Below are 13,879 nucleotides of genomic sequence, written 5' to 3'. Positions count from 1 at the left end.
AGACTGACACAGCCAGGAAACTGTATTCAAAGTTGTCTGGAAGAATACTTTTCCCTGTGGGTTATGGTTTTGATTAAGAGTTAGGTTCATTTGCGTATGCTTGTATTTACTTTTGGGGGTTGCTTTTTTCCTCCCATTTACATTTACTTTTTTTTTTTCACTAGGTGGCTTTTTCTCATTTTCCTATACATCACAAGAGGAAATGCTGGAAACATACACTGCGAACAGAAGAATTTTTAATTGCCTTTAGATAAAGATTTATGTTGTGCAGATTGCTGAGCCAGGCAAGGTGGCTCACGCCTGTAATCCCAGCACTTTGGGAGGCCGAGGTGGGTGGATCACCTGAGGTCAGGAGTTCAAGACCAGCCTGGCCAACATGAAGAAACTCCGTCTCTACTAAAAATACAAAAATTAGCCTGGTGTGGTGGTGCATGCCTGTAATCCCAGCTACTCGGGAGGCTGAGGCAGGAGAATCGCTTGAACCTGGGAGGCAGAGGTTACAGTGAGTGGAGATTGTGCCACTGCACTCCAGCCTGGGCAACAGAGCAAGACTGCATCTCAAAAAAAAAATACTAGATTGCTGTACCATCTCAAGATATTAAACCTGGCTCCAGGTCCTTAATGTACTTCTGGAATTAACAGCAGAAAGAAAACCCAAGAAGAACAAAGCTGGAGGCATCACGCTACCTGACTTCAAACTATACTACAAGGCTACAGTAACCAAAACAGTATGGTACTGGTACCAAAACAGATATATAGACCAATGGAACAGAACGGAGGCCTCAGAAATAACACCACACAGCTACAACCATCTGATCTTTGACAAACCTGACACACACAAGCAATGGGGAAAATATTCCCTATTTAATAAATGGTGTTCAGAAAACTGGCTAGCCATTTGCAGAAAACTGAAACTGGACTCTTTCCTTACACCTTTTACAAAACTGAGCTCAAGATGGATCAAAAACTTAAACATAAGACCTAGGACCATAAAAGTCCTAGAAGAAAACCTGGGCAATACCATTTAGGACATAGGCATGGGCAAAGACTTCATGTCTAAAACACCAAAAGCAATTGCAACAAAAGCCAAAATTGACAAATGGGATCTAAGTAAACTAAAGAGCTTCTGCACAGCAAAAGAAACTATCATCAGAGTGAACAGGCGACCTCCAGAATGGGAGAAAATTTTTGCAATCTATCCATCTGACAAAGGGCTAATATCCAGAATCTACAAAGAACTTAAACAAATTTACAAGAAAAAAACAAACAACCCCATCAAAAAATGGGCAAAGGATATGAGCAGACACTTCTCAAAAGAAGACATTTATGCAGCTAGCAGACATATGAAAAAATGCTCATCATCACTGGTCATTAGAGAAATGCAAATCAAAACCACAATGAGATCTCACGCCAGTTAGAATGGCTATCATTGAAAAGTCAGGAAACAACAGATGCTGGAGAGGTTGTGGAAAAATAGGAATGCTTTTACACTGTTGGTGGGAGTGTAAATTAGTTCAACCATTGTGGAAGATAGTGTGGCAATTCCTCAAGGATCTAGAACTGGAAATACCATTTGACCCAGCAATCCCATTACTGGGCATATACCCAAAGGATTATAAATCATTCTACAATAAAGACACATGCACATGTATGTTTATTGCGGCACTATTCACAATAGCAAAGACTTGGAACCAACCCAAATGTCCATCAATGATAGACTGGATTAAGAAAATGTGGCACATATACACCATGGAATACTATGCAGCCATAAAAAAGGATGAGTTCATGTGCTTTGTAGGGACATGGATGAAGCTGGAAACCATCATTCTCAGCAAACTATCACAAGATCAGAAAACCAAACACCGCATGTTGTCACTCATAAGTGGGAGTTGAACAATGACAACACATGGACACAGAGAAGGGAACATCTCACACTGGGGCCTGTTGGGGGGTAGGGGGCTAGGGGAGGGATAACATTAGGAGAAATACCTAATGTAGGTGACAGGTTGATGGGTGCAGCAAACCACCAGGGCACATGTATACCTATGTAACAAAACTGCACGTTCTGCACATGTAACCCAGAACTTAAAGCATAATTTAAAAAATAAATAAATAAATAACATCACAAAGCCACTTTTGATTGAAAAATCAAAATCAAAAAAAGAAAAAAGAAAACCCACATGGAAAAATATTTCATCACAGAAGTACCAGCTGCTGGAGACTGGGCTCGTCTAAGGGACCCCTGCTCTGTGGTCCTGGGGTGAGGGGCCCTCCACCAGGGCAGGAATTCTGCTTAATAAAATTTTTTCTTTGAAGTTTCCCTAAATCCCAAATCCGACGATGCAATTTTAGCAATGGAACAAATGAATTAATAAATGAATACACTGCAAGAATGACTGACTGGAGGCAGGGTGCCTGCTGGGCTTGTGACTTGAGTTTAGGGATGAATGGGCACCACAAGACTGCAGGAGCATACATGAAGTCAACCCCCATCACCCGTGCACTAAGAGGCAGAACGCTGTTACAAGCCAGTGATCTCCGTGAATTCTACTACAGGATTTACTATCTTTGGCCCCTTTGACAAATGTCAGTCTCGAGGCACCGAGACAGGATTCGAATCTCTCTTCTCATCCCAAAATTCCCAGGAACCGCAGCCCGGAACTCTGGCCAAGCAACCATTGCGCCTGCGCCGAACCAGCGGCCAATTGGAGGTCGGCGCGCGACCGAGTTGAGGTGCGGGAGTTTGCCCCTTTTGCGCGCAGAAAAAGCTTAGGAGAAATGAAAGCTCGCGTTGACCAGTCAGATCCGAGAACGAGCCTTGCAGCCCGCTCCCTTCTGCTTGGATCCAATCACGTGCCCCTGCAAGCGCAAGCCACAGTTTCAAAGTCAAAAAGCCAAAGAAGGCGGTGCCCAAGGAGCTGGGACTGGACCCGAGGAGAGGTGGAGGCCTGTCATGCTAGCTGGTGCCTGCCTGGGATGGGAAACGAGAGGGTGGGTGTGAGCTACGGACAGTCAAGGTAGCGTGATTCCTGCCTTCTTCAGAGTCTTGGGCTGCAACCACTTGCATGGGGTGGAAGCGGCCCTTCGAGTCCCCCCAACACACACAATGGTTTGATCCAAGCCCCCTACCCAGTGGTGCCTCCCAGAGCTGACTGTTCTGTCTCTGCCTACCGCAGTGGTATCGCCTGGCAGGATGTTTCCATCCTTGATTTGTTGTCCCCTCCTTCCGTAGGCCCCCTAGTGGTGCGATCAAGGAAGCTTCTGTGCAAATGCCTTGCAAACCGTTCCTTCTCCACCTCCCTACTCCCCAGTGGACCATTCCATCCCCACCTCCCGTTATTTCATACTCATGACCCCAGAGGGATCGCCCGTCCCAGGTCCTGACCCTGAAGATCATGCAGAGAGCAAAGGCCAAGGCGTTTATTCACCTGCCTCAAAGCCCCCACCCCAGGAGTGAGCTGAGGATGCCGGTAATTGGACAGCAATATGGCAGCATCTACCAAAATAAAAACTGGAAACATCCTTCACAAGAATTTCCGCTCCATCAAGGCAGGCACATATGGCCTTCTAATTCCCCGATGTATTCCCAGCACCTAGAACAGCACCCACCACAGAGTAGGCAGTCATTAGGTGTTTGTTGAATGAATGGCTCCTTTGACGAAACCATTCCACTTGTAAGAATGTGACGTTAAAAGAAAAAACACTCACCGGGCACGGTGGCTCACTGTAATCCCAACACCTTGGGAGGCCGAGGCGGGAGGATCACCTGAGTCAGGAGTTTGAGACCAGCCTGACCAACATGGAGAAATACCGGCTCTACTAAAAATACAAAATTAGCCGGGCGTGGTGGTGCATGCCTGTAGTCCCAGCTACTGGGGAGGCTGAGGCAGGAGAATTGCTTGAACCTGGGAGGCAGAGGTTGCAGTGAGCCAAGATTCCCATTGCACTCCAGCCTGGGCAACAGGAATGAAACTTCGTCTCAAAAACAACAAAAAAAAAAAAAGAAAGAAAGAAAAAACACTCGCACGTGCGCACAGAGCAATGTGGACAACAATGTCCGCAGCAAACTACTGGCCTGGGGTGGGGGAGACTCTAAATGACCACTTATAGCCAATGACTTGCAGAGTAAAATTAACCATGGGGTTCATGTTATACCACAGAGACCCCCCTCACTAGACATGATGCAGAATGGATAGGACCTGAGGGGGGTGGAGCCAAGATGGCTGAATAAGAACAGCTCCAGTCTACAGCTCCCAGTGTGAGTGACACAGAAGACAGGTGATTTCTGCATTTCCAACTGAGGTACCGGGTTCATCTCACTGGGGAGTGCCAGACAGTGGGTGCAGGACAGTGGGTGCAGCACACCGTGCATGAGCCGAAGTAGGGCAAGGCATCACCGCATCAGGGAAGTGCAAGGGGTCAGGGAATTCCCTTTCCTAGTCAAAGAAAGGGGTGACAGACAGCACCTAGAAAATCGGAACACTCCCACCCTAATAATACTGTGCTTTTCCAATGGGCTTAACAAACGGCACACCAGGAGATTATATCCCGCGCATGGCTCGGAGGGTGCTATGCCCACGGAGCCTCGCTCATTGCTAGCACAGCAGTCTGAGATCAAACTGCAAGGCGGCAGTGAGGCTGGGGGAGGGGCGCCCGCCATTGCCAAGGCTTGAGTAGGTAAACAAAGTGGCCGGGAAGCTCGAACTGGGTGGAGCCCACCGCAGCTCAAGGAGGCCTGCCTGCCTCTGTAGACTCCACCTCTGGGGGCAGGGCACAGAAAAACAAAAGGCAGCAGTAACCTCTGCAGACTTAAATGTCCCTGTCTGGCAGCTTTGAAGAGAGTAGTAGTTCTCCCAGCACGCAGCTTGAGATGTGGGAACAGGCAGACTGCCTCCTCAAGTGGGTCCCTGACCCCGGAGTAGCCTAACTGGGAGGCACCCCCCAGTAGGGGCAGACTGACACCTCACACAGCCGGGTACTCCTCTGAGACAAAACTTCCAGAGGAACAATCAGGCAGCAGCATTTGCGGTTCACCAATATCCGCTGTCCTGCAGCCACCGCTGCTGATACCCAGGCAAACAGGGTCTGGAGTGGACCTCCAGCAAACTCCAACAGACCTGCAGCTGAGGGTCCTGACTGTTAGAAGGAAAACTAACAAACAGAAAGGACATCCACACCAAAAACCCATCTGTACGTCACCATCATCAAAGACCAAAGGTAGATAAAACTACAAAGATAGGGAAAAAACAGAGCAGAAAAACCAGAAACTCTAAAAAGCAGAGTGCCTCTCCTCCTCCAAAGGAATGCAGCTCCTCACCAGCAATGGAACAAAGCTGGATGGAGAATGACTTTGACGAGTTGAGAGAAGAAGGCTCCAGAAGATCAAACTACTCCAAGCTAAAGGAGGAAGTTCAAACCAATGGTAAAGAAGTTAAAAACCTTGAAAAAAATTAGACGAATGTCTAACTAGAATAACCAATGCAGAGCACTCCTTAAAGGAATTGATGGAGCTGAAAACCACGGCCCAAGAACTACGTGATGAATGCAGAAGCCTCAGTAGCCAATGCGATCAACTGGAAGAAAGGGTATCAGCGATGGAAGACGAAATGAATGAAATGAAGCGAGAAGAGAAGTTTAGAGAAAAAAGAATAAAAAGAAACGAACAAAGCCTCCAAGAAATATGGGACTATGTGAAAAGACCAAATCTATGTCTGATTGGTGTACCTGAAAGTGACGGGGAGAATGGAACCAAGTTGGAAAACACTCTGCAGGATATTATCCAGGAGAACTTCCCCAATCTAGCAAGGCAGACCAACATTCAAATTCAGGAAATACAGAGAACGCCACAAAGATACTCCTCGAGAAGTGCAACTCCAAAACACATAATCGTCAGATTCACCAAAGTTGAAATGAAGGAAAAAATGTTAAGGGCAACCAAAGAGAAAGGTCGGGTTACCCACAAACGGAAGCCCATCAGACGAACAGCGGATCTCTCGGCAGAAACTCTACAAGCCAGAAGAGAGTGGGGGCCAATATTCAACATTCTTAAAGAAAAGAATTTTCAACCCAGAATTTCATATCCAGCCAAACTAAGCTTCATAAGTGAAGGAGAAATAAAATCCTTTACAGACAAGCAAATGCTGAGAGATTTTGTCACCACCAGGCCTGCCCTAAAAGAGCTCCTGAAGGAAGCTGGAAAGGAACAACCAGTACCAGCCACTGCAAAAACATGCCAAATTGTAAAGACCATCAAGACTAGGAAGAAACCACATCAACTAATGAGCAAAATAACCAACTAACATCATAATGACAGGATCAAATTCACACATAACAATATTAACCTTAAATGTAAATGGGCTAAATGTTCCAATTAAAAGACACAGACTGGCAAATTGGATAAAGAGTCAAGACCCATCAGAGTGCTGTATTCAGGAAACCCATCTCACGTGCAGAGACACACATAGGCTCAAAATAAAGGGATGGAGGAAGATCTACCAAGCAAATGGAAAACAAAAAAAGGCAGGGGTTGCAATCCTAGTCTTGGATAAAACAGACTTTAAACCCACAAAGATCAAAAGAGACAAAGAAGGCCATTACATAATGGTAAAGGGATCAATTCAACAAGAAGAGCTAACTATCCTAAATATATATGCACCCAATACAGGAGTACCCAGATTCATAAAGCAAGTCCCTAGTGACCTACAAAGAGACTTAGACCCCCACACAATAATACTGGGAGACTTTAACACCCCACTGTCAACACTAGACAGATCAATGAGACAGAAAGTTAACAAGGATATCCAGGAATTGAACTCAGCTCTGCACCAATCGGACCTAATAGACATGTACACAACTCTCCACCCCAAATCAACAGAATATACATTCTTTTCAGCACCACACGACACCTATTCCAAAATTGACCACATAGTTGGAAGTAAAGCACTCCTCAGCAAATGTAAAAGAACAGAAATTATGACAAACAGTCTCTCAGATCACAATGCAATCAAACAAGAACTCAGGTTTAAGAAACTCACTCAAAACCACTCAACTACATGGAAACTGAACAACCTGCTCCTGAATGACTACTGGGTACATAACGAAATGAAGACAGAAATAAAGATGTTCTTTGAAACCAACGAGAACAAAGACACAACATACCAGAATCTCTGGGACACATTCAAAGCAGTGTGTAGAGGGAAATTTATAGCACTAAATGCCCACAAGAGAAAGCAGAAAAGATCTAAAATTGACACCCTAACATCACAATTAAAAGAACTAGAGAAGCAAGAGCAAACACATTCAAAAGCTAGCAGAAGGCAAGAAATAACTAAGATCAGAGCAGAACTGAAGGAAATAGAGACACAAAAAATCCTTCAAAAAATCAATGAATCCAGGAGCTGGTTTTTTGAAAAGATCAACAAAATTCATAGACCGCTAGCAAGACTAATAAAGAAGAAAAGAGAGAAGAATCAAATAGACGCAATAAAAAATGACAAAGGGGATATCACCACCAATTCCACAGAAATACAAACTACCATCAGAGAATACTACAAACACCTCTACGCAAATAGACTAGAAAATCTAGAAGAAATGGATAAATTCCTCGACACACACACCCTCCCAAGACTAAACCAGGAAGAAGTTGAATCTCTGAATAGACCAATAACAGGCTCTGAAATTGAGGCAATAATTAAGAGCTTACCAACCAAAAAAAGTCCAGGACCAGATGGATTCACAGCCGAATTCTACCAGAGGTACAAGCAGGAGCTGGTACCATTCCTTCTGAAACTATTCCAATCAATAGAAAAAGAGGGAATCCTCCCTAACTCATTTTATGAGGCCAGCATCACCCTGATACCAAAGCCTGGCAGAGACACAACAAAAAAAGAGAATTTTAGACCAATATCCCTGATGAACATTGACACAAAAATCGTCAATAAAATACTGGCAAACCGAATCCAGCAACACATCAAAAAGCTTATCCACCATGATCAAGTCGGCTTCATCCCTGGGATGCAAGGCTGGTTCAACATATGAAAATCAATCAATGTAATCCAGCATATAAACAGAACCAAAGACAAAAACCACATGATTATCTCAATAGATGCAGAAAAGGCCTTTGACAAAATTCAATAGCCCTTCATGCTAAAAACTCTCAATAAATTAGGTATTGATGGGACGTATCTCAAAATAATAAGAGCTATCTATGACAAACCCACAGCCAATATCATACTGAATGGACAAAAACTGGAAGCATTCCCTTTGAAAACTGGCACAAGACAGGGATGCCCTCTCTCACCACTCCTATCCAACATAGTGTTGGAAGTTCTGGCCAGGGCAATCAGGCAGGAGAAGGAAATAAAGGGCATTTGATTAGGAAAAGAGGAAGTCAAATTGACCCTGTTTGCAGATGACATGATTGTATATCTAGAAAACCCCATCGTCTCAGCCCAAAATCTCCTTAAGCTGATAAGCAACTTCAGCAAAGTCTCAGGATACAAAATCAATGTGCAAAAATCACAAATATTCTTATACACCAATAACAGACAAACAGAGAGCCAAATCATGAGTGAACTCCCATTCACAATTGCTTCAAAGAGAATAAAATACCTAGGAATCCAACTTACAAGGGATGTGAAGGACCTCTTCAAGGAGAACTACAAACCACTGCTCAATGAAATAAAAGAGGATACAAACAAATGGAAGTACATTCCATGTTCATGGGTAGGAAGAATCAATATCGTGAAAATGGCCATACTGCCCAAGGTAATTTGTAGATTCAATGCCATCCCCATCAAGCTACCAATGACTTTCTTCACAGAATTGGAAAAAATACTTTAAAGTTCATATGGAACCAAAAAAGAGCCCTCATGGCCAAGTCAATCCTAAGCCTAAAGAACAAAGCTGGAGGCATCATGCTACCTGACTTCAAACTATACTACAAGGCTACAGTAACCAAAACAGCATGGTACTGGTACCAAAACAAAGATATAGACCAATGGAACAGAACAGAGCCCTCAGAAATAATGCCACATATCTACAACTATCTGGTCTTTGACAACCCTGACAAAAACAAGCAATAGGGAAATGATTCCCTATTTAATAAATGGTGCTGGGAAAACTGGCTAGCCATATGTAGAAAGCTGAAACTGGATCCCTTCCTTACACCTTATACAAAAATTAATTCAAGATGGATTAAAGACTTACATGTTAGACCTAAAACCATAAAAACCCTAGAAGAAAACCTAGGCAATACCATTCAGGACATAGGCATGGGCAAGGACTTCATGTCTAAAACACCAAAAGCAATGGCAACAAAAGCCAAAATTGACAAATGGGATCTAATTAAACTAAAGAGCTTCTGCACAGCAAAAGAAACCACCATCAGAGTGAACCGGCAACCTACAGAATGGGAGAAAATTTTTGCAATCTACTCATCTGACAAAGGGCTAATATCCAGAATCTACAATGAACTCAAACAAATTTACAAGGAAAAACAAACAACCCCATCAAAAAGTGGGTGAAGGATATGAACAGACACTTCTCAAAAGAAGACATTTATGCAGCCAAAAAACGCATGAAAAAATGCTCATTATCACTGGCCATCAGAGAAATGCAAATCAAAACCACAATGAGATACCATCTCACACCAGTTAGAATGGCGGTCATTAAAAAGCCAGGAAACAACAGGTGCTGGAGAGGATGTGGAGAAATAGGAACACTTTTACACTGTTGGTGGGACTGGAAACTAGTTCAACCATTGTGGAAGTCGGTGTGGCGATTCCTCAGGGGTCTAGAACTAGAAATACTATTTGACCCAGTCATCCCATTACTGGGTATATACCCAAAGGACTATAAATCATGCTGCTATAAAGACACATGCACATGTATGTTTATTGCGGCATTATTAACGATAGCAAAGACTTGGAACCAACCCAAATGTCCAACAATGATAGACTGGATCAAGAAAATGTGGCACATATACACCATGGAATACTATGCAGCCATAAAAAAGGATAAGTTCATGTCCTTTGTAGGGACATGGATGAAGCTGGAAACCATCATTCTCAGCAAACTATCGCAAGGACAAAAAACCAAATACCGCATGTTCTCACTCATAGGTGGGAATTGAACAATGAGAACACATGGACACAGGAAGGGGAACATCACACACTGGGGACTGTTGTGGGGTGGAGGGAGCGGGGAGGTATAGCATTAGGAGATATACCTAATGCTAAATGGCAAGTTACTGGGTGCAGCACACCAACATGGCACATGTATACCTATGTAACAAACCTGCACGTTGTGCACATGTACCATAAATCTTAAAGTATAATAATAATAAAATTTAAAAAAAAGAATAGATAGGACCTGTGTGTGCCTGCGGGGGACAGGGGGCAGGGAGAATGCCTTTTACAGGACAACACTGTAAGCAGGGAAAAGTGGATGGGTGTGTGTGTGCGTGTGTGTGTGTGTGTGTGTGTGTGTGTGTGTCCAATCCCAACAGCCTAGTGCCTCATCCCAACAGAGGGAGGGGAAGACAGAGCTTTGTTAACCTGAGGTCTGGCCCCACACCACTCCATAGGCTGTCTCAGATGGGTGGGCTTGGGGAGGGCTGACTCAGGAGCTTGGGAGATGGTAAGCCATCTCTTTTTGCTTCATTTGGTCAGTCTTCATTCACTCACTGACAAATACCATTGGCTGACCTTAACCTTTATGACTTGAATGAAGATACAATGAGACTCATTCAGACTGACAATGAGAGGACAAGAATCCCCAGATCCTAACAGTGGGGAGGAGACAGACCTCCTCCAGGGAGCCCGGTGTAAAGTCCTGAAGCCCAACTGGACTTCAGGCAAGGAAAGGGGGCTCCATATCAGTTCGGAAAGCGCCAACCAGTTCAGTTGGGAGTCACAGGGAAATCTCGGAGCCTGGAGCTGCAATAACAAAAGTGGCATCCAGAATGGAGGAGGGGGACAGGGCTCCTGCTAAGGGATGGAGACTTAACACTATGACTACACGTTAAGAAAGACGTAATGAAATAAGCACAGCAAACCTTGGAGGGTAGTGCTTTTAGCATCCCCACTTTACATTATGTTCTCTTCCCATTTCCCTTCTTGATCTTCCGTGGGCTGCATTTCTTTTTTTTTTTTTTTTTCAGACAGAGTCTCTCTCTGTTGCCCAGGCTGGTGTAATGGCCTGATGTCAGCTCACTGCAACCTCTGACTCGTAGGTTCAAGTGATTCTCCTGCCTCAGCCTCCTGAGTAGCTGGGATTACAGGTGTGCGCCATCACGTCCCACTAATTTTTGTATTTTTAGTAGAGATGGGGGTTTCACCATGTTGGCCAGGCTGGTCTCGAACTCCTGACCTCAGATGATCTGCAAGCCTTGCCCTCCCAAAGTGCTGAGATTACAAGCATGAGCCACTGTGCCCGGCCTCATGGGCTGCACTTCTAATTCGATGCTTTAAAGTGTTTTCATTAGCAAGCACATATTGAATATTTAATGTTATGTCAGGACCCATTCTAAGTTCTTCACAAATATTAACTCACCTAATAGTCCTCACAATAACCGAATGAAATAAATAATTTTTTTCCTCCATTTTACAAATGAGGCACCTGAGAAACAGAGAGGTTAAGTAACCTGCCAGAGATCACACAGCTGGGAAATCATGGAACCAGGATTTGAACCTAGTCCATCTGGATCCAGAGTTCCATCCTCATAACTACCTACTGCTATGCTTTTCCTTTTCTTTTTATTTTTGTTGTGTTTGTGTGTGTCAGCCTCCCTCACCAGACTGTGACACCTGAGGATTTGTGTGATGCTTGTGTGACTGCCGGGTTTCCAGCAGTCAGGATGCACCTGATGTTGTGTGGGCATCCTTGGACAGATGCTGAATCAGTGGATTAACTCCTCCTCCTTCCATCCCAACCTGGGCATCCATCCTCAAAGTGGGCACCATGGGGTGTGATTGTGTATCTGCCCCCAGGAAGGTCCTTCTGGGCAGCTGGGAGAGGCTGAGGGGCCAGGCATGCCCTGAGGCATGACTTCAGCAGTGGTTCCTGAACTCCAGTCACTCACTTCCCACCTGAGGGGACTGCCCTGTCACAATCCCTTTCAGACTAGTAGAGCCATCTCAAAGTTTCCCCAAGGTCAAATCGCTTTTGTTCTTAAACGAAATGTTTTGAAAAGATTCTATCACTATACAAAATTAGAAACAATTGCCACAGAAGGTAACTGTAAAATTAAATAATGAAAAATGTCCTATTTTATCAATTCTAAAATGTACTTTAAAATATATTTTTATATTATACATAAATATATATATTTTAAGATAGGGTCTCACTCTATCACCCAGGCTGGAGTGCAGTGCCATGATTATAGCTCGCTGCATGTCAAACTCCTGAGCTCAAATGATCCTCCCACCTCATCCTCCCAAGTAGCAAAGGCTACAGGCATGCACCACCATGCCTGGCTAATTTTTTACTTTTTTGTAGATATGGGGTCTCTCTATGTTGCCCAGGCTGGTCTGGAACTCCTGGGCTCAAGTGATCATCCTGCCTTGGCCTCCCAAAGTGCTGCGTTTACCAGTGTGAGCCAGTGCACTCAGCCTTAAAATATTTTAATGTATCTGAAATCAGGAATGCATCATACAGTCACTGAGTTGAGAAGGCAACAGGTCAGAGTTCAATTAGTAGCATTCTTTCTTTCTTAGGGTTACTTACAATAAGAGTGTGACACACAATCTATAGCATCTGAGATTTGATGAAATATGGTAAAAGTGTCATGAAGCTTTCAATCTTAAATTTATTTTTTAATTAATTAATTTATTTTTTCCTTGAGCCGTAACAAGAAAGTATCAATCTTAAATTTAAAGAACTTTGTTTTAGGTAATCACAGATCTGACTTGCAGTATCCTAAGCCCTTCTTATGTGCTATCTCATTTAATTCCCACTAGGACCCTTGGAAGAAAACCCTGTCACCTCTGTCACAGATGAGGACACTGAGGCACTGAGAAGGCAGGTCCCTGGCTCAGGCCCTCCAGCTAGGGTGGGGCAGAGCTGGGGCCAGATGCCAATGCCAGGATGACCGCAGTTGGGGCACTCCCTATGCTCACGCTGCTCCTGTCCCTCCCAGGGTCCCTTCTCTGTCCTCACAGACCCAGCTCTGCAGTGTCCTCCCATCTCCTGAGGTGACACTCACCCCAGTGCCTCCTTCAGGAATATCACCCCACCTCTTCCAGCCCTAGGTAAATTGCCCTGGACTCTCAGTCTGGATCTGAAGTTTCATCTGGATCTGGGAGACATTTCCAGTTCTGCCTTAACAGGGATGTTGTGACAGGCCCCAGTAGCCAGCAGGCATAGGGATTTGGGGAAAGATATAGTGAGGTGTCCCAGAAGTCCTGGTCCAGACACCTGCACCATTCACAGTCTGCTGCTCACCCATTCCCAAGATGCCCACAGGAAACTAACTCCCCTAGACTGCCTCCTGCTGACCTTCAACAACAGAGGCCACTTTAATGGGAGACAGGGCTGTGGGTGTTTCTACACTAGCTGCAGAGTTTTGTGTAGGGCAGGCTGCCGTGTGTGTTATGGGTCATGATTCCCACCCCACTCATAAGTAACCCTGAGCAATAGAAGTTAAACCATGAATATAAGACACCATGGTGTGTGTGTGTGTGTGTGGTGTGTATGTGTGTGTGTGTGTGTGTGTGTGTCAGAGAGAGAGAGAGAGAGAAGGAGGAAGGGGGAGAGAGACAGAGAGAGAGAGAAAGGTGAAGTCAAACAGCCTCTTTGCAGGTCCAGAAGTGATAGCTATTTGGCCACTAGCGAATTCCTAAAATCCATCCTACAGGTCTAGCTCCATAAATGATCCACT

Source organism: Homo sapiens, chromosome X, assembly GCF_000001405.40.
Source record: "Homo sapiens chromosome X, GRCh38.p14 Primary Assembly".
Classification (NCBI taxonomy): domain Eukaryota; kingdom Metazoa; phylum Chordata; class Mammalia; order Primates; family Hominidae; genus Homo; species Homo sapiens.
This window is presented reverse-complemented; position numbering follows the sequence as displayed.